The sequence below is a fragment of the Homo sapiens genome, chromosome 1 (genome assembly GCF_000001405.40).
Source record: "Homo sapiens chromosome 1, GRCh38.p14 Primary Assembly".
In the NCBI taxonomy this organism is placed as follows: Eukaryota; Metazoa; Chordata; class Mammalia; order Primates; family Hominidae; genus Homo; species Homo sapiens.
Window position 1 is genome coordinate 225,181,057 of NC_000001.11, and position 25,791 is coordinate 225,206,847.

At 35.8% G+C, this 25,791-nt stretch overlaps 1 protein-coding gene across 26 annotated transcripts in view; it reads left to right on the forward strand.

Moving 5' to 3' along the window:
• The window catches only part of DNAH14 (dynein axonemal heavy chain 14), a 469,633-nt gene that overhangs the window by 251,403 nt on the left and 192,439 nt on the right, over positions 1-25,791 (forward strand). For 23 of the 26 annotated variants that reach the window (XM_011544062.3, XM_011544067.3, XM_017000296.2 and 20 more), the window contains 4 exons: positions 4,235-4,369; positions 11,640-11,855; positions 23,127-23,217; positions 24,915-25,123. In XM_011544062.3, coding sequence (XP_011542364.1) covers positions 4,235-4,369; positions 11,640-11,855; positions 23,127-23,217; positions 24,915-25,123 — 651 coding nt within the window. Of the gene's footprint in view, positions 1-4,234; positions 4,370-11,639; positions 11,856-23,126; positions 23,218-24,914; positions 25,124-25,791 lie in introns of those variants that run through there. The other 3 variants (XM_011544059.3, XM_011544066.3, XM_047445671.1) reach the window with 3 other exon arrangements.

The following is a 25,791-nucleotide window of genomic DNA, read 5'->3' on the forward strand; positions in this document are numbered from 1 at the left end:
TTGTAAGTGAGAACTTGTGATATTTGATTTTCCGTTTCAGTGCTAATTTGTATAGGATAATAGCCTCCATCTGCATCCATGTTGCTATAAAGGACCTGATTTCATTCTTTTTTATGGATGCAGAGTATTTTATGGTGTATATTTGTGACATTTTCTTGATCCAGTCCACCGTTAATGGGCACCTAGGTTGATTTCATATCTTTGCTACTATGAATAGTGCTTCAATGAACATATGAATGTAGATACCTTTTTGGTATAATGATTAATTTTTCTTTGGGTACATACCCTGTAATAGGATTGCTGGGGCAAATGGTAGTTCTATTTTTAGTTCTTTGAGACATCTCCAAACTGCTTTCCACAGTGACTGAACTAATTTACATTCCCACCAACAGTGTATAAGTATGCCCTTTTCTCTACAGCATCACCAGCATATGTTTTTGTTTTACATTTTAGTAGCAGCCTTTCAAATTGATGTGAAACCAATTCATTGTGGTTTTCATTTCTTTTCTCTGATAATTAGTGATGTGAGCATTTTTTCATATGTTTATTGGCCTCTTATATGTCTTCTTTTGAGAAGTGTCTGTTCATCTCCTTTGCCCACTTTTTAATGGAGTTGTTTATTTATTTATTTGTTTGTTTGCTTGTTGAATTCTTTAAGTTGCTTATAGATTTTTGATACTGGACCTTTGTCAGATGCATGGTTTGCAAATATCTTCTCCCCGCTGTTTATTTTTGTCAGTTTTGTTGAAGATCAGATGGTTGTAGGTATGTGGCTTTATTTCTGGATTTTCTATTCTGTCCTGTCATTCAGATAAATAAACCAAAAGAATAAAATATAGAATAAATCAGGCTGGGTGCAGTGGCTCATGCCTGAAACCCCAGCACTTGGGGAGGCCGAGACAGGTGGATCACTTGAGGTCAGTAGTTTGAGACCAGCATGGCCAACATGGTGAAACCCTGTCTTTACTAAAAAATAAAAATACCAAAAAAAAATTAGCTGGGCATGATGGCATGCGCCTGTAATCCCAGCTATTTGAGAGCTGAGGTAGGAGAATCACTTGAACCCTGGAAGCAGAAGTTGCGGTGAACCCAGATCGCATCATTGCACTCCAGCCTGGGCAAGAGGGTGAGACTTCATCTCATAAAATAAAATAAAAAGGAATTAATTAAGAAATTAACCTTATTAAATGTGGACACCTCATATATGATAGAAGTAGCAAACCAGTAAGGAAAAGTCTTGGAAAAATGATTATTCACATAGGGAAAAATAGATCCTCAACTGGCACCTTAAAAAAATTCCAGACAGTTTAAAAATGGGAAATGTGAATATCTAAAACTTTTAGGGAGGATGAGGTAGAGCAAGATGGTGGAATAGAACCTTCAAAGAATCATACCCTTGAAAGAACATCAAATTGAACAACTATCCACACAAGAAAACACCTTCACGAGAGCTAAATAATTAGTTGAGAGATCAGAGTACCTAATTTTACCATAATAACAGAAAAGACACATTGAAAAAAGTAGAAAGAACAGTCTCACACTGCCTACACTAGCCCTACCCCAACCCCAGGCAGCACGGAGCCCAGGGAAAGATTCTGTCCACTTGAGAGAGGGAGAGGAAAGTGTGTGAGACTTTGCATTTAGTACTGGCCCTGCCACGATAAAAGACAACACCAGGCATAACACCATGGCCCCTCATTCCAGGCTGGTGAGCACAAAGAGAGTATTTAGACTCACTGTGGACCAGAAAGGAATCTGTCATCCCAGTAGGAGAAACTCAAGTCCTGACCCAATTCACCAATGGCTGACTAAAGTGGGCTCAGGTCCCAAATAAAATTCTGTGGTAGGCAGGCCATAGTACAACAGTCCTTGGGTGATGCCAATTCTGTGCTGATCTGGCAGGCTGGGGGATTTGGGTGTGGCCCTGCATGAGATCAGCTGCAGCAGCTATGCAGAGCCCATGTCACTCTTTTCCCAGCTCCAGGCAGTGCGGTGTGAAGAGACTCCTTCCACTTAGGAGAGGAAAGTATGCAGGGGACTTTGCCTTGGAACCTAGTACCAGCTCTGCCATTGTAAACTAGAGTACCAGAAGAGCCTTGTGGACCCTGATTCCAGGCAGATACTCCTGAACAGTACTTCTAGACCCAACCCAGGCAAGAAGGGAATCAGCTGCCTTGGCAGGATGGATCAAAGTCCTGGCCAGCATCATTACTGGCTAACTAAAGTGGCCTCAGGCCATGAATAAATATCAATGGCAGGTAGGTAGTGGTGGCTGCAGGCCTTGGGCAAGCCCCAGTGCTGCAAAGGTCTAGAGGCCATGGGCAGTGTGGTACCTGCTCTAGGATGTGACAAAAACAGTATTAAGAGGAAAGTTTATAGCACTGAATGCCTACATTAAGAAATTAGAAAGATCTCAAATTAGCAATCTAGCATTGCACCCAACTGTACTATAAAAACAAGAACAAACTAATCCCAAAGCTAGCAGAAGAAAAGAAATAACTAAAATCAGAGCAGAACTGAAGAAAATTGAGAGATTGAGACCCAAAAATCTATACAAAGGATCAATGAAACCAAAAGTTGGTTTTTTGAAAGGACAAACAAGATCAATAGACCACTAGGTAGATTAACAAAAAAAAAAAAAAGGAAGATCCAAGTAAGTACAATCAGAAACAACAAAGATGATGTTATAAACTACCCTACAGAAATACAAAAGATCCTCAAAGACTATTACGAACACATCTATTTACACAAAATAGAAAATCTAGAGGAAATGGTTGAATTCCTAGAAACAAACAAACCTCCCAAGATTCAATCAGGAGGAAACTGAAACCCTGAAAAGACCCACAACACGTTCCAAAATTGAGTCAGTAACAAAAACCTACCAAACAAAAAAAAACCCTGGACCAGAAAGATTCACAGTCAAATTCTACCAGATGTACAAAGAAGAGTTAATACCAATGGTAATCAAATTATTCAAATAAAAAATCAAGTAGGGATTACTCCCAAACTCATTATATAAAATCAGTATTATCCTAATATCAAAATCAGGCCAAAACATGCAATATCACAATGAAAAAAGAAAACTACAGACTAACATCTTTGATGGACATAGATGCAAAAATCCTCAACAAAATACTAGCAAACTAAATCCAGCAGGACATCAAAAAAAGTGAATTCACCATGATCAAGAAGCCTTGATTCCTGGGATGCAAAGTTGGTTCAACATATGCAAATTAATGAATGTGATTCACCACATAAACAGAATTAAAAACCATATGATTGGCTGGGCACAGTGGCTCACACCTGCAATTCCAAGACTTTGGGAGGCAGAGGTGAGTGGATCGCTTGAGACTAGGAGTTCAAGACCAACCTGGTCAACATGGAGAAACCCCATCTCTACTAAAAATAAAATAATTAGCCAGCTGTGATGGCACGCACCTGTAGTCCCACATACTCAGGAGGCTGAGGCACAAGAATCGCTTGAACCTGGGAGGCAGAGGTTGCAGTGAGTCCAGATTGTACCACTGCACACCAGCCTGGGCAACAGAGCAAGACTCTGTCTCAAAGAAAATAAAAACAAAAACAAAACATATGATTGTCTCAGTAGATGCAGAAAAAGCATTTTATAAAATCCAACATCCCTTTTTGATAAAAAGTCTCAACAAACTAGGCATCAAAGGAACATATCTTAAAAAAAAGAGAGAGAGAGAGAAAGAAAGAAAGAAAGAAAAATAAAGAAAGAAAGAAGCCATACTGAATAGGTGGAAGCTAAAAGCATTCCCCTTAAGAATTGGAATAAGACAAGGATGCCCACTCACACCACTCTTATGCATTATAGTACGGGAAGTCCTAGCCAGAACAACCAGGTAAAAGAAAGAAATAAAAGACATCCAAATAGGAAAAGAGGAAGTTAAATTATGCCTCTTTGCTGATGGTATGACTCTGTACCTGTTATTAAAATAAAAAATAAAAAATAAATTTTAAAAAACATAGCCAAGAGGCTCCTAAATCTGGTAAACAACTTCAGCAAAGTTTCAGGACACAAAATCAATGTAAAAAAAAAAAATCAGTAGCATTTCTATACACCAATAACATTCATGCTGAGAGCCAAATAAAGAACACAAACTCATTTATTATAGCCACAAAAAATAAAATAGTCAATGGATATAGAGATATATTGGTTAATAAACTTAAAATCATTAATGAATGAATAAATCTGTAAATTTTGTTTTAGGTTTGTGTTGGTGTGATGTTAGTGGGCCCAACAGGTGGAGGAAAGACAACAGTCAGAAGAATTTTGGAAAAAGCATTAACGCTATTACCAATTGCAGACTTCTTATCAGTTGCAGAAAGAAAATCTGCTTCAAAGGTAAATGTTCTGTTAAATAAAATGTTTCTCTATTTGTTCATATCTTATTTTACACTTTAATATTTTATGTTCTCTTTATATTGGTATTTTCATTACTTATTAAACTTATTGCTAGGAATTTTGTAGTTAAGAATCATAATGAGTGGGATTTTTAACTTAAATCTCAAACTGATCATTACTAGTTTAAAGAAACTATTGTATATTTATTTTGTATCTAGGCATCTTAATAAATGAACTTTTAATTTCTTATTGTTTTTAGGTATCAATTGAATCATCTTCACATGAAAATAATTTTGTCTTTTTTTGAATATTTATATAACTTCTCTTCTTAATGAATTAACTTTCCAAGTTAATTTTAATTAATTTCCAAGTTAACATTAATACAATGTTAACTGTAATATTTCTTCCTTACTTTATCTGGAATGTATTTAATATTTATGCATTTAATATGATATTTGATCTTGGTCACTGATAAATATTCCTTTTCACACTTTGGAATTTTCTATTCGCATTACACTTTGTTTTTTTTTTTTTTTTTGGCTGTTAGAATTTATTAAATTATTTTCAGCATCTATTTTTTAAATCTTTTAACTGATTAATGTAATAAACTATGTTGATTTATTAATGTTAACTTGTCTTTGAATTCCTTGCATAGTGCCTACTTAGTCATGATATATTTTTATTCAATATAAAGTCAGACTCCACTAAATAATATGTACTTCAATTACTTAGTTAATGATTTATTGTTGGTAACATATTCCAAAAATTTACAAATTCAGATTCTTGGTTATGTGGATTTTTTTTCTGTCAGTGGGAAATATCCTGCTTCGAGATTATACATGTAGTAGTTCATAATCTTTTCGCTTTTCCCTTCATGCAAATTTTCCTTCCTGAAAGATCTCAATTAGTTCTTACACAGTTATTATAACTAATAAGAGGTGAATTATCACAGCAATAATAATAATAACTAATATGTATGGACTACCTAAAAAGGTCCAAGCAGGGTGCCAAAACACTTTTGCTTGAATTATTTAATTCTCACAACAACTGTGAAGACAGTAATTTGCTTTATTAAAAACAGTTTTTTAAGTACAAAAGTAGTACATATAATTGTGAGAAATTTGGAAAATAAAATGTGAAGAAATAATAATCACCTAGAATAATAATACAGTAAAATGTGAAAACGTATTACTGTATTAGCTTTGATTATTTATTCTACACTAAATATATTTTGAAATAACCGAGATAGTACCATGTATAAGAAATCTTAGTTTTTCCAACCTTGGAATTTTCACATAATGTTATATGCTGAGAATTAACCTTATGACATTAAACATTTCTGACAAATATCCCAATTACTGTATTCTGTATATATGACTATACTATAATTTATTTAATGATTCTCACATGTTTAATAGTTTTAAATTTTTGTTTTTTAAAGATATAATTGTAATAAACATACTTAGGAATGGTAGTAGGACCTGAGGTGATGGAATTATTTTGGTCATCCTTAGTTTATGACTTTCTTCTTACTGGTCTGTTCAAGACCTTCTCTTTATTTTAGTTTAGTTTTGTTTAATTTATTTACCTTCTTTCCTTATCTTTCTTTTTCCTCTTCATCATAGGAACACTCCTTGCTATATGCCTTTAGATATATGTGTGTCCTTAAAAATTTTATACCCAATAATGTAATTGCTGGTTGGCATGGTATAACTTCACCATGTACTGCCAGGTAAAATTCACACACATGAGATAAACCATTTTAAAGTGTACATTCTGGTGACATTTAATATATTCACAATGTTATGCAATTACTACCTCCCTCTAATTTCCAAATATTTTTATCACCCCAGGAGAACACCCCTTTCTCATTAAGAAATCACCCCCTATTCTCCTATCTTCCCATTCCCTGGAAGCCACTAATTGGCTTTCTCTTTCTATAGATTCGCCTCTTTTGGCAGAGATGTATATAGATATATATCTGGGTTTTTTCTACCTTTTGGATGCAATGAATATTACTGTTGTAAACATTTGTGTACAAGTTGAGTAGACATATGATTTCATTTCTCTTGGATAAATACCTAGGAATAGAATTGTTGGGTCATATGGTAATTCTGTGTTTAGCTTTTTGAGGAAACACCAAAGTGTTTTACAGTAACTACATTATTTTAAATTGCCATTAGCAATGTATGAGGCTTTCTGTTTCTCCATATCCTCACCAACATTTATTATTTCCCATTCTAGCGGATGCGAAATACTATCTCATTGTAGTTTTGGTGTTGAATACCTTTTCATATGCTTATTGGCCATTTGTGTATCTTCTCTGGAGACATGTCTGTTCATGTCTTTGTCCATTTTTAAATTGTTATCTTTTTGTTGTTCAGTTGTGAGAGTTCTTTATATATTCTGGACACAAAACTCTCATCAGATTGTGATCTGCAAATTTTTTTTCCTGTTTTGTGAGTTCTCTTTTCCCTTTCTTGATGTGAAGTGTAGGGGTCCAACTTCGTTCTTTTACATAGGGATATCCAGCTCTTCCTGCACCATTTGTTAAAGTCTATTATTTTCCCCACTAAATGATCTTGGCATTTTTTGTTGAAAATCAGTTGGCCACAGATGTTTGGGTTTGTTTCTGGTCTCACAGTTCTATTTCATTGTTCTATATGTCTTTCCTTATACCACAATAGATATGTTGTGATTGCTATATAGTTTTATATAGTAGTCTCCCTGTATTCATGGTTTTTACTTTGCACAGTTTCAGTTACTCATGGTCAACTGTGGTCCAAAAACATTAAATGGAAAATTTCAGAAGCAAACAATTCATAAGCTTTAAACACTACATTACAATGCCTACATCATTCACCTTAGTTCATCTCTTTATATTGGCATTTTATCATATCATCATCACAAGAAGAGTGAGTACAGTACAATAAGGCATTTTGTGGGAAACAAAGATTACATTCATATCAGTTTTAAGTTATTACATCATATTGTTTTAATTGTTCTATTAATTATTGTTAACATCTTACTGTGCCTAATTTCTAAAACTTTATCACAAGTATGTATCTATAGGGAAAAATATAATATATAAAGGGTTCTGTAATATCTGTGGTTTCAGGCATCCACTAGGTGCCTTGGAATGTATCCCCTGGGGATAAAGGCGGATTATTGTAGTAAGTTTTGAAACTGGGAAGTGCAAGTTCTCCAACTTTGTTTTTTGTTTTTTGGACATTTGGTTATTTGGGGCTCTGTGCAATTCCATATGAATTTAAGGATTGGCTTTTCCATTTCTGCAGAAAAGGCCATTGGAATTTTGATAGGAATTGCGTTGATCCTGTAGATCATTTTGGTGAATACTACCATCTTAATAATAAAGTTTTCTGATTGATGAACACAGATGTCTTTCCATTTTTATATCTTTGATTTCTTCTGCCAAGTTTTCTAGTTTTCAATATACAAATCTTTCTCCTATCATTAAATTTATTCCTAGGCATTTTATTCTTTGGAATCCTTGTCTTATTCTTGATTTCAGTCTTTCTCCAATTGAGTATGGTGCTGAGTTTGATAAATACCCCTTATCATGTTAAGGAAGTTTACTTCTCTTCCTAGTTTTCTGAGCGTTTTTTACCATGAAAAGGTGTGAAATTTTGTCAAATGCTTTTTCTGTGCCTTTTGATATGATCGTGTGGTTTCTTTCCTTCATTTTACTATTGTAGTGGGTTACATTGATTGATTTTCTTATGTTGAACTACCCTTGCATTCCTGGTCATGGTGCATGACCAGGAATTGTGCTTGGTCATGGTGCATAATCCTTTAAATGTGCTGTTGGATTCAGTTTGTTAGCATCTTTTTGAGGATTTTTGCATATATATCCTTAAGGGTTATTGGTCTGTAGTTTCCTTTTCTTGTGCCATCTTTGGGTATGCTATCAGAGTAATGCTGACCTCATAGAATGTATTAGAAAGTGTTTCCTAGTTTTCTTTCTTTTCTTTTTTTTTTTTACAAGAGTTTGAGTAGGATTGGTGTTAATTCTTCTTTAAGTGTTTGGTGGAATTTATCTACCAGTTGTAGTTGGACTGTTCTTTGTTGGAAGTTTTTGATTATTGAGTCAAACTATTTGTTATGGGTCTTTTGAGATTTTCTATTTCTTCTTCAGTTGGTTTTGGTAATTTGTGTGTTTTTAGGAACTTGTCCATTTCATCTTGCTTGAAAAAATCTTTGTTTTACTTTCAAACTGTGTATTTGAACTATTGTCTTTGGGTCTAAAGTCAGTCTCTTGTATGCAACATATATTTGGATCATGTTTTTGTTTCTTCACTATGCCAATTTCTTCTTTTAATTGGCAAACTTAATCTATTTTATTTTGATTACTGATGATGGACTTTTGCCTTTTTGCGATTTTATTCTATGTCTTGTATCTTTTTTGTTTCTCAATTCCTCCAAAATTGCCTTTTGTGTTTGATTTTTTTCTAGTGTAACATTTGGATTCCTTCTTCATTTCCTTTTCATTTTTTACTCATTTTTAAAATAGTTACCTGGGAGATTGCAGTTAACAACTGTTAGGGTCTGAATTGTGTCCCCCCCACCCAAAATTCATGTGTTAAATCTCCAACCCACAGTACCTCAGCTTGTATCTCCCCTTATTCATGGGGAATACATTCCATGACCCCAAGTGGATGCCTGGGGCCACAGATAGTACTGAACCCTATATATACTATGTTTTTTCCCATACATACATATCTATGATGAAGTTTAATTTATAAATTTGACACAGTAAAAGATGAACAATGACAACTAATGAAATAGAACAATTATAAAAAATATGATGTAATAAAAATTATGTGAATGTGATCTCTATCTCTCAAAATATCTTATTATATATACTGTATTCACCCTTCTTCTTGTGTATGTCGATCTGATAACTGAGTTGTTACTGAGTGACTGATTAGCAGGTAGATTTATGTCCCAGGTGGGACAGAGCCAGATGGTGCAAGATTTCATGTAACTACTCAAAATAGCATGAAACTTAAAACTTACAAATTGTTTATTTCTAGAATTTTCCATTTAATATTTTTGGACTGCAGTTGACCACAGGTAAATGCAACTGCAGAACATGAAACTATAGAAAAGGGAGGATTACAGTATATTTGGAGATACAGCCTTTAAAGAGGTGATTAAGTTAAAATAAAGCTATTACAGCAGGCCCTAATCCAATTTGACTTGTGTACTTATAAGAAAAGGAAATTTACAAACACAAAGTGACATTAGAGGTGTGTGTATGCACAGAGAAAAGACCACATGAAGACACAGTGAGAAGGCAGTTATCAGCAAGTCAAGGATTGAGGTCTTGAAGAAATCAAAACTGCTAACAACTTCATCTTAGACTTTTACTCTTCAGAGTAAAAGAGAAAATAAATTTGTTGTTTAAGTTACCCAGACTGTGGTATTTTGTTGTGGCAGCCCTAGCAAACACATAACTACCAATCCAGTAGAACTGATACCAACTTCACTTCAATAGCAGACATTAATTCTACTCCTTCCCAGCTCTGTTGCCTGCTTTATGTTGTTAGTGTCACAAACTATATCTTTATATATTGTGTACCCATTAATATAGATTCATTATTATTGTTTATGCATTTATTTTTTTAATTATATAGGAAAAAAAGAGGAGTTACAAATCAAAAATAAAGTAATAGTGGCTTTTATATTTACCTTAACCAGAGATCTTTATTTCTTCAAATGGCTCTGAGTTACTATTTATTGTTTTTTTCATTTGAGCCTGAAGCATTTATCCCTTTATTCATACCTTCAGCATTTTCAGTAGGGTAGGTTTCCCAGGGATGAACTATTTAGCTTCTGTTTATCTGAGAATGCCTTAGTTTCTCCCTCACTTTCATAAGATGGTTTTGCTGCATATAGAATTCTTGGTTGACAGTTTTGGTTTTTAGTTTGTTTCAGCACTTTGTATCATCCCATGCCTTCTGGCCTTTGTGCTTTCTGATGAGAATTGACTTTTAATTTTGCTGAGGATCCCTTGTATTGCCTCTCTCCTGCTACTTTCAAGATTTTGCCTTTGGACATCAATAGTTTGATTATAATGTGTGGATCTCTTTGTGTTTATTTTTCTTTGTGTTTCATGAGTTCTTGGATTTGTATTTTATATCTTTCATTAATTGGAAAATTTGGGGCCAGTATTTCTACCAACATTTTTTTCTACTTTTTCTCTCTTTTCTTCTTCTGGAATTACCATAATGTATAGATTGATATGCTTTATGGTATTCCATAGGTCTCTTGGACTCTGTTTACTTATTTTATTCTTTTTTCTTTCTTCTCTTCAAATGGGTAATTTTGGCTTCCCTGTCTTCAGGTTTGCTCATTCTTTTTTTATCTGCTTAAATCTGCTATTGAATGCCACTGTTGATTTTTATTTCAACTATTTTATTTTTCAGCTCTATAAACTCTATTTTGTTCCCTTTTATAATTTCTGTATCTTTAATAATAGTTCCTACTTGTTCTTACACCATTTTCCAGTTTCCTCAGACTTGATCTTTGCTGGGGTAGTTTTTGACTGATTAGCTGGGCCTGCTCTGAGTCTAGTGATCAAGCTTAAGATGAAAGTTTCAATTCATCTCAGGTCTTTGTGCATACATCTTGATGCATATGGCTTTCAGAATTCCCCCATATGAATGTCTTAATTTCCCAAAGATTTTACCCAAACTTCTCCCTGAGGCCTTATATGGTCTGTCATATGTTTCTACCTGTAATCTCTTGCCCTAGGCTTCCACAGGTCTGTAATCTCTCTGAAGAAGTGCCTGCCAATTTTTCTGCCTGACATCTGAGATACATAAAACGAGACCAGATATTCTGGCAAGACAGGTTAAAATATTGCAAATCAGGTTAATTTCAGTGTCAATTCTGACCTTAAGCTTAAAAGTGTATTCTGTTGTCTCTCACTTCTATACTCAACCCTGTCCCCAGACACATTACATGCCAGTTTATATACTGTGTTCCTGGATTAGGCACAGATTTTTTTCCACTTTTTCTGGGGGTACTGTTTGTAGTATTACAATTTTTTAAAAGAATGATTTGTATATTATGGATAATTTTAAGAAGTCAATATTTACTGTTCCTTGCAACTTGCTACCTTTATATAAAATCTTTTTTTGGTGTGAAAGGTTTCTCCTATAACCTTTTAATAATAAGAATGCAAATAAACTAAATAATTGGTCTATAGTTAATGTCTTTAAAAACTACACTGGATTTTTCCCAGATTTCAGAAAGAAAAGGAAAAGTAGATATTTGTGTTTTAAATCCAAAGTGTGTCACTCTCAGTGAACTATATGGACAACTGGATCCTAATACTATGGAATGGACTGATGGATTATTATCAGCAACAATTCGAAGTTATGTATATTTTAACACACCAAAGAACACAAAGAAAGACATTGATCTCAGACTAAAGTCAAGAATCTCAGATTTATCCAATGTAAGTTTAGTATTGAATGAATGTTTTTATTTAACTAATGTGGATTATTTAATTGCTTATCCAAAGACTGATATTAAAACATCATTAGACATCTATTAGTGTAAAAGTAAATTTTAAAATCTTATGAATAGTTTTTAAAAAGAGAAAAATTATGTTATTAAAAAATGGAAAATCTCCCATTGAATTTTTAAATGATCAGTAAATGATAGAATGAAGTTAAAGATATTTGCTTTTAAAGGAGCACAAAGTGAATTAAGTTTGAATGGAAAATGATCTAGTGATTCCAGCACCACCAAAATACCTTGCAAATTAATGAGACTAAAAAACCCTTTGTTAGAAAAGTGAATAAAGTATTTGATACAAAATTCATCACAGAATAGATACAAGTGGCAAAAAGGAAAATTTTTATTCTCATTAGCAATAACTAGAGATTGCTGGTAAATATCATTAGATAAAACACATTAACAAAAAGATGATGTTTAAAACCAAACAGAGAAGCCAGGTGTGGTGGCATACACCTGTAATCCCAGCTCCTCTGGAGGCTGAGGCAGTAGGGTCACTTAAGCCTGGCAGTTCAAGACCAGCCTGGTCAATATCACAAGACTCTATCTCAAAGAATAAGAATAAATATTAAAACTAAATAGGTTAATAAAGATTTTTTAAATGGGAAAACAATACATCATACTGAGTGGGGAAAAGCTGGAAGCATTCCCCTTGAGAACCAGAACAACACAAGGATGCCCACTATCACTACTCCTATTCAGCGTAGTATTGCAATTCCTAGCCAGAGCAATCAGGCAATAGAAGGAAATAAATGACATCCAGATAAGAAGAGAGGAAGTTAAACTATCTCTGTTTGCAGACAATATGATTCTATACCTAGAAAACCCCATAGTCTCTGCCCAAAACCTCCAAATCTCGTAAACAACTCAGCAAAGTTTCAGGATATAAAATCAAGGCACAAAAATTAGTAGCACTTCTATACACCAATAATGTCCAAGCTGAGAGCCAAATTAAGAACACAATCTCATTCACCGTAGCCACAAAAAAGTAAAATACCCAGGAATACATCTAACCAAGGAGGTGAAAGATGTCTATAATGAGAATAACAAAACAGTACTGAAAGAAATCAGAGATGACACAAACAAATGGAAAAACATTCCATGGTCATGGATTGGAAGATTCGATACTGTTAAAATGGCCATACTGCGCAAAGCAATTACAGACTTAATGCTATTCCTATCAACTACCAGTGACATTTTTCACAGAATTAGAAAAAACTATTATAAAATTCTTAGGAAACAAAAAAGAGCCTGAATGAAGCTGAAGGCATCATGTTACCCAATTTCAAACTATACTACAAGGCTACAGTAACCAAAACAACATGATACTTATACAAATGCAGACACATAGACAAGTAGAGCAGAATAGCCCAGAAATAATACTGCACACTTACAACCATCTGATCTTTGACAAAGTTGACAAAAAGTTGCCAAAGTTTGAAAAAATAAGCAGTGGCAAAAGGACTTCCTGTTCAATACATGATGTTGGGATACCTGGCTAGATGTATGCAGAAGATTGAAACTGGACCCCTTCCTTTCACGATATACAAAAATCAACTCAAGATAGATTAATGATTTACATGTAAAACTTGAAACTATAGAAGAAACCTAGGAAAATCATTCTGTATATGTGCCTGGGCAAAGATTTCATGATGAAGACACCAAAAGCAATTGCAATGAAACAAAAATTGATAATTGGGACCTAATTAAAGAGCTGCTGCACAGAAAAAAAGGCTATCAACAGAATAAGCAGATAACCTATAGAATTGGAGAAAATATTTGCAAACTGTGTATCCGATAAAAATCTAATATCTGGAATCCATAAGAAACTTAAACAAATTGGCAAGAAAAAAACATCCCCACTAAAAAGTGGGCAAAGGATATGAACAGACACTTCTCCAAAGAAGATATACATTGAGCCAATAACCATATGAAAAAATACTCATCATCACTAATTATTAGAAAAATGCAAATGAAAATCACAATGAGATACCATCTCACACCAGTCAGAATGGCTATTACAAAAAGTTAAAAAATAACAGATGCTAGCAAGGGTATGGAGAAAAGGGGACACACTGCTTGTGGGAATGTAAATTAGTTCAGCCACTGTGGAAAGCACAGTGATTTGGTGATTTCTCAAAGAACTTAGAACTACCATTCAATCCAGCCATCCCATTATTGGGCATATATGCCCAAATTAACATAAATCATTCTACCATAAAGACACATGCATACATATGTTCATCACAGCACTACACAGAATAGCAAAGACATGGAATTAACCTAGATGCCCATCAATGGTAGACTGGATAAAGAAAATGTGGTACATATACAGCATAGAATACTACAAAGCCGTAAGAATGAGATCATGTCCTTTGCAGCAATATGGATGGAGCCGGAGGCCATTATCCTAAGCAAACTAACTCAGGAACAGAAAGTCAAATACTACATGTTTTTGCTTATAAATGAGAGCTAAACATTGACTACACATGGATACAAAGATGGGAACAATAGACACTGGGGCTTACTTGGTGGAGGATGGGAGGATGGAGAGGATCAAAAAACTACCTATTGGATACTAAGCTTATTACCTGGGTAAAAATCTGTATACCAAACCCCCGAGACACGCAATTTATCTATATAACAACCCTGCACATATACCCCTGAACCTAAAATAAAAGTTAGAAAAAATAAATAAGGAACTATCAACTAAGTAAATGAGGAAAAGCTATAAATAGAAAATCGATAGAAAAATTACAGTTGTCATTAAATATATGAATATATGAAAAGATGCTCAGCCCAGCTATTATTCAAAAAAAAGTTATAACAATGATAGGCACTTTTTTTTCTCATCAGGTTTTCAAACCTTAACAATATTGATAGTGAATATTTTCAGTGTTAGCAAGGATATGTAGAATGATGGTGGGAGTGTTATTGCCACAAACTTTTGTAAAGTAATCTAATGGAATTTATTAAAAAATAAAATATGTATAACTTTTAACCCACAGTCTCACATTTTTAAGAAATTTATTTATTTATTTATTTATTTATTTTTATTTCCATAGGTTATTGGGGAACGGGTGGTATTTGGATACATGAGTAAGTTCCTTAGTGGTGATTTGCGAGATTTTGCTGAACCCATCACCTGAGCAGTATACACTGCACACAATTTGTAGTCTTTTATCTCTCACCCCCTTCCTACCCATTCCCCCTGGATCCCCAAAGTCCACTGTGTCATTCTTATGCCTTTGCATCCTCATAGCTTAGCTCCCCCTTATAAGTGAGAGCGTATGATGTTTGGTTTTCCATTACTGAGTTACTTCACTTAGAATAATAGTCTCCAATCTCATGCAGAGCTCTGTGAATGCCATTAATTCATTTTTATGGCTGTAGTATTCCATAGTATACATATATATACAACAGTTTCATTATCCACTTGTTGATTGATGGGCATTTGGGTTGGTTTCATGTTTTTGCAATTGTGAATTGGGCTGCCATGAACATGTGTGTGCAAATACCTTTTTCATGTAATGAGTTCTTTTCCTCTGGGTAGATACCCAGTAGTGGGATTGCTGGATCAAATGGTAGCTCTACTTTAGTTCTTTAAGAAATCTCCACACTGTTTTCCACAGTGGTTGTACTAGTTTACATTCCCACCAGCAGTGTAGAAGTGTTCCCTGTTCACCACATCCACACCAACATCTTATTTTTGATTTTTTGATTATGGCCATTCTTGCAGGAATAAAGTGGTATTGTATTGTGGTTTTGATTTGCATTACCCTGATAATTAGTGATGTTGAGCATTTTTTCATGTTTGTTGGCCATTTGTATATCTTCTTTTGAGAATTGTCTATTCATATCTTTAGCCCACTTATTGATGGGATTGGTTGTTTTTTTTCTTGCTAATTTGATGGTATTGTTTAGTTTTTTTCTTGCTAATTCACTTGAGTTTGTTGTAGATTCTGGATATTAGTCCTTCATCAAATGTATAGATTGTGAAGATTTTCTCCCACTCTGTGGGTTGTCTGTTTACTCTGCTGACTGTACCTTTTGCTGTGCAAAACTCTTTAATTAAGTCCCAGCTATTTATCTTTGTTTTTGTTGCATTTGCTTTTGGGTTCTTGGTCATGAAATCCTTGCCTAAGCCAATGTCTAGAAGGGTTTTTTCAATGATATTTTGTAGAATTTTTATGGTTTCAGGTCTTAGATTTAAGCCCTTGATTCATCTTGAGTTGATTTTTATATAAGGTGAGAGATGAGGATCCAGTTTCATTCTCCTATATGTGGCTTGCCAATTATCCCAGCACCATTTGTTGAGTAGGGTGTCCTTTCCCCATTTTATGTTTCTATTTGCTTTGTCAAATATCAGTTGACTGTAAGTATTTGGCTTTATTTCTGGATTCTCTATATTTTTCCATTGGTCTATGTGCCTATTTTTATACCAGTACCATGCTGTTTTGGTGACTATGGCCTTATAGTATAGCCTGAAATCAAGTAATATGGTGCCTCCAAATTTGTTATTTTTGCTTAGTCTTGCTTTGGCTATATGGGCTCTTTTTTGGTTCCATATAAATTTTAGGATTGTTTTTTCTAGTTCTGTGAAGAATGATAGTGGTATTTTGACGGAAATTGTGTTGAATTTGTAGATTGCTTTTTTGGCAGTATGGTCATTTTTACAATATTGATTCTACCCATCCATGAGCATGGAATGTGTTTCCATTTGTTTGTGTTGTCTGTGATTTCTTTCTGCAGTGTTTTGTAGTTTTCCTTGTCTTTCACCTCCTTCATTAGGTATATTCCTAAGTATTTTATTTTTTTGCAGCTAGTGTAAAAGGTGTTGAGTTCTTGATTTGATTCTCAGCTTGGTTACTGTTGGTGTATAGAAGAGCTACTGATTTGCGTGCATTAATTCTGTATTTAGAAACTTTGCTGAATACTTTTATCATTTCTAGGAGCGTTCTGGAGGAGTCTTTAGGGTTTTCTAGGTAAACAATCCTGTCATCAGCAAACAGTGACAGTTTGACTTCCTCTTTATTGATTTGGATGCCTTTTATTTCTTTCTCTTGTCTGATTGCTCTGGCTAGGATTTCCAGTACTATGTTGAAGAGAAGTGGTAAGAGTGGGCATCCTTGTCTAGCTCCAGTTCTCAGAAGGAATGTTTTCAACTTTTTCCCACTCACTATTATATTGGTTGCGGGTTTTTCTTAGATGGCTTTTATTACATTGAGATATGTCCCTTGTATGCCAATTTTTTTTTTTTTTTAGATGGAGTCTCACTGTGTTGCCCGGGCTGGAGTGCAGTGGTGCGATCTTGGCTCACTGCAAGCTCTGCATTCTGGGTTCACACCATTCTCCTGCCTCAGCCTCCCAAGTAGCTGGGACTAAGGCACCCACCAACATGCCTGGCTAATTTTTTGTATTTTTTAGTAGAGATGGGGTTTCACCGTGTTAGCCAGGATGGTCTCAATCTCCTGACCTTGTGATCTGCCCACCTCAGCCTCCCAAAGTGCTGGGATTACAGGCATGAGCCACTGTGCCCAGCCCCTTCTATGCCAATTTTGCTGAGACTTTTAATCATAAAGCAATGCTGGATTTTGTTTAATGCTTTTTCTGCATCTATTGAGATGATCTTGTGATTTTTGTTTTTAATTCTGTTTATGTGGTGTATCACACTTATTGACTTGCATATGTTAAATCATCCCTGCATCCCTGAAACCCACTGATCATGGTGGATTACCTTTTTGATATGTTGTTGGATTCAGTTAGCTAGTATTTTGTTAAAGATTCTTGCATCTATGTTCATCAGGAATATTGGTCTGTAGTTTTCTTTTTTGGTTATGTCCTTTCCTGGTTTTGGTATTAGGGTGATACTGGCTTCATAGAATGATTTAGGGAGGATTCTCTCTTTCTCTATCTTGTGGAATAGGGTAATAAGATAGATTGCTACCAATTCTTCTTTGAACGTCTGGTAGAATTCTGCCACGAATCTGTCTAGTCCTGGACTTTTTTTGTTGGTAATTTTTTCTGTTACCATTTTATTCTCCATGTTTGTTATTGGTCTATACAGGGTATCTAATTCTTCCTTATTTAAGCTAAGAGGGTTGTGTCTTTCTAGGAATTTATCCATCTCCTCTAGGTTTTCTAGTTTATGCACATAAAAGTGTTCACAGTAACCTTAAATGATCTTTTGTGTTCCTGTGGTGTCAGTTGTAATATCTACTGTTTCATTTCCAGTTGAGCTTATTTGGATTTTCTGTCTTCTTTTCTTGGTTAATCTTTCTAATGGTCTATCAATTTTATTTTTTCAGAGAACCAGCTTTTTGTTTTATTTATCTTTTGTATATTTTTTGTTTCAATTTCATTTATTTTTGCTCTGATCTCGGTTATTTTCTTTCTTCTGCTAGATTTGGGTTTGGTTTGTTCTTGTTTCTCTAGTTCCTTGAAGTGTGACCTTAGAAAGTCAGTTTGTGCTCTTTCAGTCTTTTTGATATAAGTGTTTAGGGCTATGAACTTTCCTCTTAGCACTGCCTTTGCTGTATCCCAGAGGTTTCAATAGGTTGTGTCACTATTTCATTCAGTTCAAAGAATTTTTAAATTTCCATCTTGATTTCATTTTGACCCAGTTATCATTCAGGAGCAGGTTATTTAATTTCCATGTATTTGCATGGTTTTGAAGGTTCCTTTTGGACTTGATTTCCAATTTTATTTCCACTGAGGTCTGAGAGAGTGCTTGATATAATTTCAACTTTCTTAAATCTATTGAGACTTGTTTTGTGGCCTCTCATATTGTCTATCTTGGAGAAATTTCCATGCACTGATGAATAGAATGTATATTCTGCAGTTGTTGAGTAGAATGTGCTGTAAATATCTGTTAAGTCCATTTATTACAGGGTATAGTTTAAATTCATTGTTTGTTGACTTTCTGTCTGATGACCTGTCTAGCACTGTCAGTGGAGTATTGAAGTCCCCCATTATTATTGTGTTGCTGTCTATCTCATTTCTTAGGTCTATTTGTAATCATTTTATAAATTTGGGAGCTCCAGTGTTGGGCACATATATATTTAGGATTGTGATATTTTCCTGTTGGACAAGGCCTTTTATCATTATATAATGTCTCTCTGTCTTTTTTAACTGCTGTTGCTTTAAAGTTTGTTTTGTCTGATATAAGAATAGCTACTCCTGCTCATTTTGGGTGTCTATTTGCATGGAATGTCTTTTTCCACCCCTTTATCTTAAGTTTATGTGAGTCATTATGTGTTAGGTGAGTCTCTTGAAGGCAGCAGATGGTTGGTGAATTCTTATCCATTCTGCAATTCTGTGTCTTTTAAGTGGAGCATTTAGGCCATCTACATTCAATGTTAGTATTGAGTTATGAGGTACCATTCCAGTCATCATGCTATTTGTTGCCTGTATACTTGGTTTTTCATTTTTTTGGTTTTTTTAATTGTATTTTTTATAGGTCCTGTGAGATTTATGCTTTAAAGAGGTTCTGTTTTGATGTTTTTCCAGGATTTGTTTCAAGATTTAGAGCTCCTTTTAGCAGTTCTTGTAGTGCTGGCTTGGTAGTGGTGAATTCTCTCAGCGTTTGTTTGTCTGTATCTGCATTTGTTTGTTTGACTGTATCTGTCCTTCATTTATGAAGCTTAGTTTCACTGGATACAAAATTCTTGGCTGATAATTGTTTTGTTTAAGGAGGCTGAAACTAGGGCCCCAATTCCTTCTAGCTAGTAGGGTTTCTGCTGAGAAATCTGCTGTTAATCTGATAGGTTTTCCTTTATAGGTTACCTGGTTCTTTTGCCTCACAGCTCTTAAGATCCTTTCCTTTGTCTTAACTTTAGATATCCTGATGACAGTGTGCCTACGCGATGATCTTTTTGCAATGAATTTCCCAGGTGTTCATCGAGCTTCTTGTATTTAAATGTCTAGGTCTCTAGTAAGGCTGGTGAAGTTTTCCTCGATTATTCCCCCAAATATGTTATCCAAACTTTTAGATTTCTTTTCTTCCTTAAGAACACCAATTATTCTTAGGTTTGGTCATTTAACATAATCCCAGACTTCTTGGAGGCTTTGTTTATATTTTCTTCTTATTATTATTATTATTTTGTCTTTGTTGGATTGGGTTAATTTGAAAACCTTGTCTTCGAGGTCTGAAGTTCTCCCTTCTGCTTGTTCAATTCTATTGCTGAGATTTTCCAGAGAATTTTGCATTTCTATAAGTGCATCCACTGTTTCCTGAAGTTTCTATTGTTTTTTATTTATGCTATCTATTTCATTAAAAATGTATCCCCTCATTTCTTGTGTTATTTTTTGACTTCCTTAAATTGGGCTTCACCTTTCTCTGGTGCCTCCCTGATTAGCTAAACAACTAACCTTCTGAATTCTTTTTCAGGTAAATCAGGGATTTCGTCTTGGTTTAGATTCATTGCTGGTGAGCTAGTGTGGTTTTTGGGGGCTGCTAAAGAACCTTGTTTTCTCATACTAACAGAGTTGGTTTTCTGGTTCTTTCTCATTTGGGTAGGCTCTGTCAGAGGGAAGGTCTAGGACTCAAGACTGTTGTTCACATTCTTTTGTCCCACAGGGTATTCCCTTAATGTAGTACTCTCCCCCTTTTCCTAGGGATGTGGCTTGCTGAGAGCCAAGCTGTAGAGATTGTTATCTCTTTTCTGAGTCTAGCCAGCCAGGAAGTCTACCAGGCTCCAGGCTGGTACCGGGGGTTGTCTGCACAGAGTCCTGTGTTGTGAACCATCTATGGGTCTCTCAGCCACGGGTAGCAGCAGCTGCTTCAGTGGAAGTGGCAAGGGGATAAAATGGACTCTGTACGGGTCCTTACCTTTCATTGTTTAATGCACTATTTTTGTGCTTGTTGGCCTCCTGCCAGGAGGTAGCACTTTCTTTCTTCCTTTTTTTTTTTTTTTTTTTGAGACGAAGTCTTCCTCTTGTCCCCCAGGCTGGAGTGCAATGGTGCAATCTCAGCTCACTGCAACCTCTGCCTCCCAGGTTCAAGCGATTCTCCTGCCTCAGCCTCCCCAGTAGCTGGGATTACAGGTGCCTGCCATGATGCCTGGCTAATTTTTGTGTTTTTAGTAGAGATGGGGTTTCACCATGTTGGCCAGGCTGATCTCAAACTCCTGGCCTCAGGTGATCTGCCTGCCTTGGCCTCCCAAAGTGCTGGGATTACAGGCGTGAGCCACCTCACCTGGCCCAGGAGGTGGCACTTTCAAGAAAGCATCAGCTGTGGTAGTATGGGGAGGAACAGGCAGTGGGCAGGCCCTAGAACTCCCAAGAGTATATACCCTTCATCTTCAGCTACCAGGGTGGGTAGGGAAGGACCATTAGGTGGGGATGAGGCTAGGCGTGTCTGAGCTCAGACTCTCCTTGGGCGGGTCTTGCTGTGGCTGCTGTGGGGGATAGGAGTATGGTTCCCAGATCAATGGAGTTATGTTCCTAGGAGGATTATGGCTGCCTCTACTGTGTCATGCAGGTTGTCAGGGAAGTGGGGGAAAGCCAGCAGTCACAGGCCTCACCCAGCTCCCACACAACCCAAAGGGCTAGTCTCACTCCCACTGTGTCCCCGCAATAGCACCGGGTCTGTTTCCAGGCAGAGGGTGAGCAGGGCTGAGAACTTGCCCCGGCTACCCATCTCCCAGCTGCAAAAGCAAGTAGGGCTTTCATGCTTCCTCCGCCTATGGAGTCTGCACACTGGATTCACGCCCTTCCCTGAGTTCTGACCAGGAGACTTCTCAATCAGTTCAAATTGTTACAAAGTTGAGCTAGAGGTTTTCTTCTCCCTGTGGCCTTTTCTCAATGCCTCTGTCAGCCCCCAGCAAGGACCCCTGTGAGGCAAGGCAGAAATGGCTTGCTAGGGGACCCAGTGAGCCCACAGTGCTTTTCCTGCTGCTTCCTCTACCCCTGTATTTTGCTCAGCTATCTAAGTTGACTAAGCTCCAGGTAAGGTCACACAACTCATGCAGATCTTCTTTCATGATCTAGACCTTCAGGTTCCCTAGTGAGGGTGTGTGTTTGGGGGTGGATGATCCCCCTTTGCCACTTCCACAGTTTGGACACTCTCAGTATTTCGGCTGTCTCCCCAGTCCTGCAGGAGCAATCCACTTTCTTTAGAGGGTCTGTGGGTTCTCTCGGCTTTCCTGATTTATTCTTGCAGTCATTCTGGAGCAAAAGTTCATGATGTGAGCCTCCACATGCTTCTCTGTCCATCCAAGTAGGAGCTGCAATCTAGTCCTGCCTCCATCTGCCATGTTCTCTGCAAGTCAAAACAATCTATTTAGAGAAAGAAATGCACTAGAGCATAATGATGTATATCCAAGCATAATAATTACTTTTGTAATAGGAATAATAATTGGAAATAGCCTAGGACTTGCTTACTTTGTGATGAGGGTGGGAATTAGTAGGAATTGATTACTATTTGCTGGGACCTGGTTGAAACATGAGCACCTTTGTCTCTCTCTTTTAGAACCTACACTGTGCCCCCAGCATAGCTCTATTATTTGGTTTTCTCCCTGACTACTATTGATAGTTAAGGAAACCAGTGCCAATAAGCTGATGATATATTACTCAGCTCTTTTACAGAGATGAATAATTAAGCCTCCCCATCTCAAGATAATAAGGAGTTAATATGTTAATATACATACATCAGAATTTCTCAAAGGTTGGTGTAAAAATGACATGTATTAGAATAACTCAGGATAATTTAATTTTCATTAAAAGTGAAAAATTCTGGGCTTCATCCCAAACCTATTCAATTAGAATCTCCAAGGATGAGGTGTTACAATCTGTAATTTAACAAACTGCAGGTAATTCTATGTATTCTAAAACTTGAGAACTGATATGAAGGAAAGTCTAGAAAAAAAAATACACCAAAATATGTATGGTGATTGTCTGTGGGTAATGGAAATTCAAAGAACTTTTGCTTTCTTGTGTTTTTCTGTTTTATTTGACATCCTACAATAAGCATGTACTGTCTTTGCAGGGGGAAAAAAGAAACCAAAGTAAAATAGTTTTCCAAAGTAAATAAGCTATAGTCACAAGTCAGTTACATTAGACTATGCTGGTTATATGTTGGTCTTTTCAGTTACAGAACCCTCTGCCTTTTATATTTTTATCACTCAAGAAAGCATATTGACATATAATCCATTGTAGTTGAAAAGTGTTATTAAATAAAAATTTAAACATTATTGATTACATATTTTAGGTTTTCAAACTTGATTCCTCTGATACAACAGAGACTGATGATAATATTTTTGAGGAGATAGAGAAAGTTGTTAAAATTCCAGAAAATCACAGTAAGTGTTACTAAATTCAAGAAAGATTATTAATATAGAAGACAAACTCTCAACCAATATGAGCTATATTTATATGTTTAAACATGTTTTTTGACTGGTAATATTTTGTTCCTGTACCATTTATTTGTTCGTATGTTTATTTAAAATTTGTGTAGTGTTACCACATATTATATTACAATGTATACATATATATATAATTACATTATATAAGCACTATGGCTTAAATAGTCCTTCAGTTTATAAAAGAACCAAGTGGATATTAAAGGTAGAAATAAACAATGATGTGATAAGCACCAGCAGCAATCTACAATTTGCCACTGATATTGCCTCTGAAATGGGACTCCAAACAATTTGTACATTTCCAGGCCAAAGCATACAACCCAAGTAGATTTATCTAAAATGAACTGCACACCTGTAATATGCCAGACACTTTACTATGTGCCAGTGGGACAAAATATGTATATGACCTTGTCAGTCTACTGGAGGAGCACTGACCATTGCTTTCCCCACTCCAGGTTGCACCTCATGTCAACACATCCACCATTAGTACATATATGATCCAGACTTTAAAAGAGATTTCTACTTCTGCTTCTACTTTACTGAATATTTGTGTGTTATTTTGGGGAGAGTACAGTGATTAGGCACCATTGGTTTCCTTCATGGGACTTTGAGGCCATTCCTAGGGCAGGTATTTGTCAGAGCACCTCTTAGCAGTAGTGGCTATATGGATCCTAGCTCTACTCTTGGATTCTTCTGGGATATTTTAATATCTTTTCAGTGGTTATCTATTTTCTGTCTGCATAGTGACCTATTCATACCTCCCCTATCCTGACCAATGGATTTTCTAAAATTGTGGAGCACAGTGGTGGGTGTAGCATGTGTGCTATGGTCTAAAGGTTTGTGTCCCTCCAAAATCCATGTGTTGAAATTCTAACTCCCAAGGTGATGCTATTAGGAGGCAGGGGGCCTTGGGGAGTTGATTAGGTCATGAGGGTAGAGCCCTCATTAATGGCATTAGTGCCCTGAAAAAGGAGCTCAAGAGAAATTCCTCACCCCTTCCACCATGTGAGGACAAAGAATGTGCCCATCTGTCAACCACGAAGATAGCACCCCCAGACAAGGAATCTGCTAGTGCCATGATCTTGGACTTCCAAACCTCCAGAACTGTGAGAAATAAATGTCTATAGTTTATAAGCTACCCAGTCTAAGGCTTTTTGTTACAGCAGCCCAAATGGACTAACACCCTGTGGAAAGAGGAGTAAATGGGTTCCAAATATAGTATACTTTAAACTCTGTTTGATTATTTCTTCAAAGAACATCTGTTTCCCTTTGCTATTCCCCAAGGGCAATATATCTAAAAAATATTCTGGGGTAGAAGGGCAAACTTACAAATCATATTATTATGCAAAAGGTAAAATTATAGCTGTTTCTCCTAAGCAAATTGTAAGGGTTAATTATCTAATTCAACAATCTAAGAATGTCTAAACAATGCTTAAAGCATTATTAAGTATACTGTATAAATATTTATTCATATTCAGTTATACCAGGGACTACATATAAACACATTCACTCTAGTGTTTTCTAGGATATCTTTCCTCTTAGAAAATATGTCCTAAGTAAAATAGAAAATTAGCAAGATTGTAATGAAAGATGACGGACATTAGTCTCAGTTACATTAAAAATATTTTTCTCTCCAGATTTTGATTGGCAGTGGATTATCCTAGATGGCCCAGTGGACACCTTTTGGGTAGAAAATCTGAACTCTGTGCTAGATGATACTAGAACATTGTGCCTAGCAAACAGTGAGAGAATAGCTTTAACTAATAAAATAAGAGTGATTTTTGAAGTGGACAATCTCTCTCAGGCCAGTCCTGCTACTGTCAGCCGATGTGCCATGGTCTATATGGTAAGCTTTCAAAAACAAATGTTTTAACAAAGCAAAAATGTTGTTTATGATAGTAACTATTTATTATTTACAGCATTTTATGTTTATTTTATTTTTACCTTTGTATCCAGCAGCATGAACTCAATAGTTTCAAATCTTTGTGTCTCCCAAAGCCTCATAATCCACAATTGAATGTGAATTTAATTATTACTGTTTTAATACTACTCTTAGTAATTGGAGTGTCAGTATTTTCCACAACTGTGGGTAAACAAATAGACAGGTTAGACTGCTGATGTGAATTATTTTTTCAATAGAGGAAGATGGTCCTGAGGCCTTTTCATACTCACTCTGACTCTTAAGAACTTGGGAAACACACTATGAAGACAGTGGGAGGGAAGTACAAAATATAACATGAAGTTATTAGCTATAGTCTCTATTCTCTATACATGAAGTTATTAGCTATAATTAACCCTATGCTCTAATCTACTTAACTGAATGTTATGAATAAATCTAAGTATAGGGCTGACTTCTGGGTAAGCAGTACCCCTCACCACATACACATAGCCTCAATACACCTTCCTACACATAATACCCCAATTGTTTTCTTGTAAGACCATAGATAGAAGTCACAAATCATTCCAGAGAATGTTAATTCCTTAAGCTACTTTGATCATTTGCCCTTTAATGAA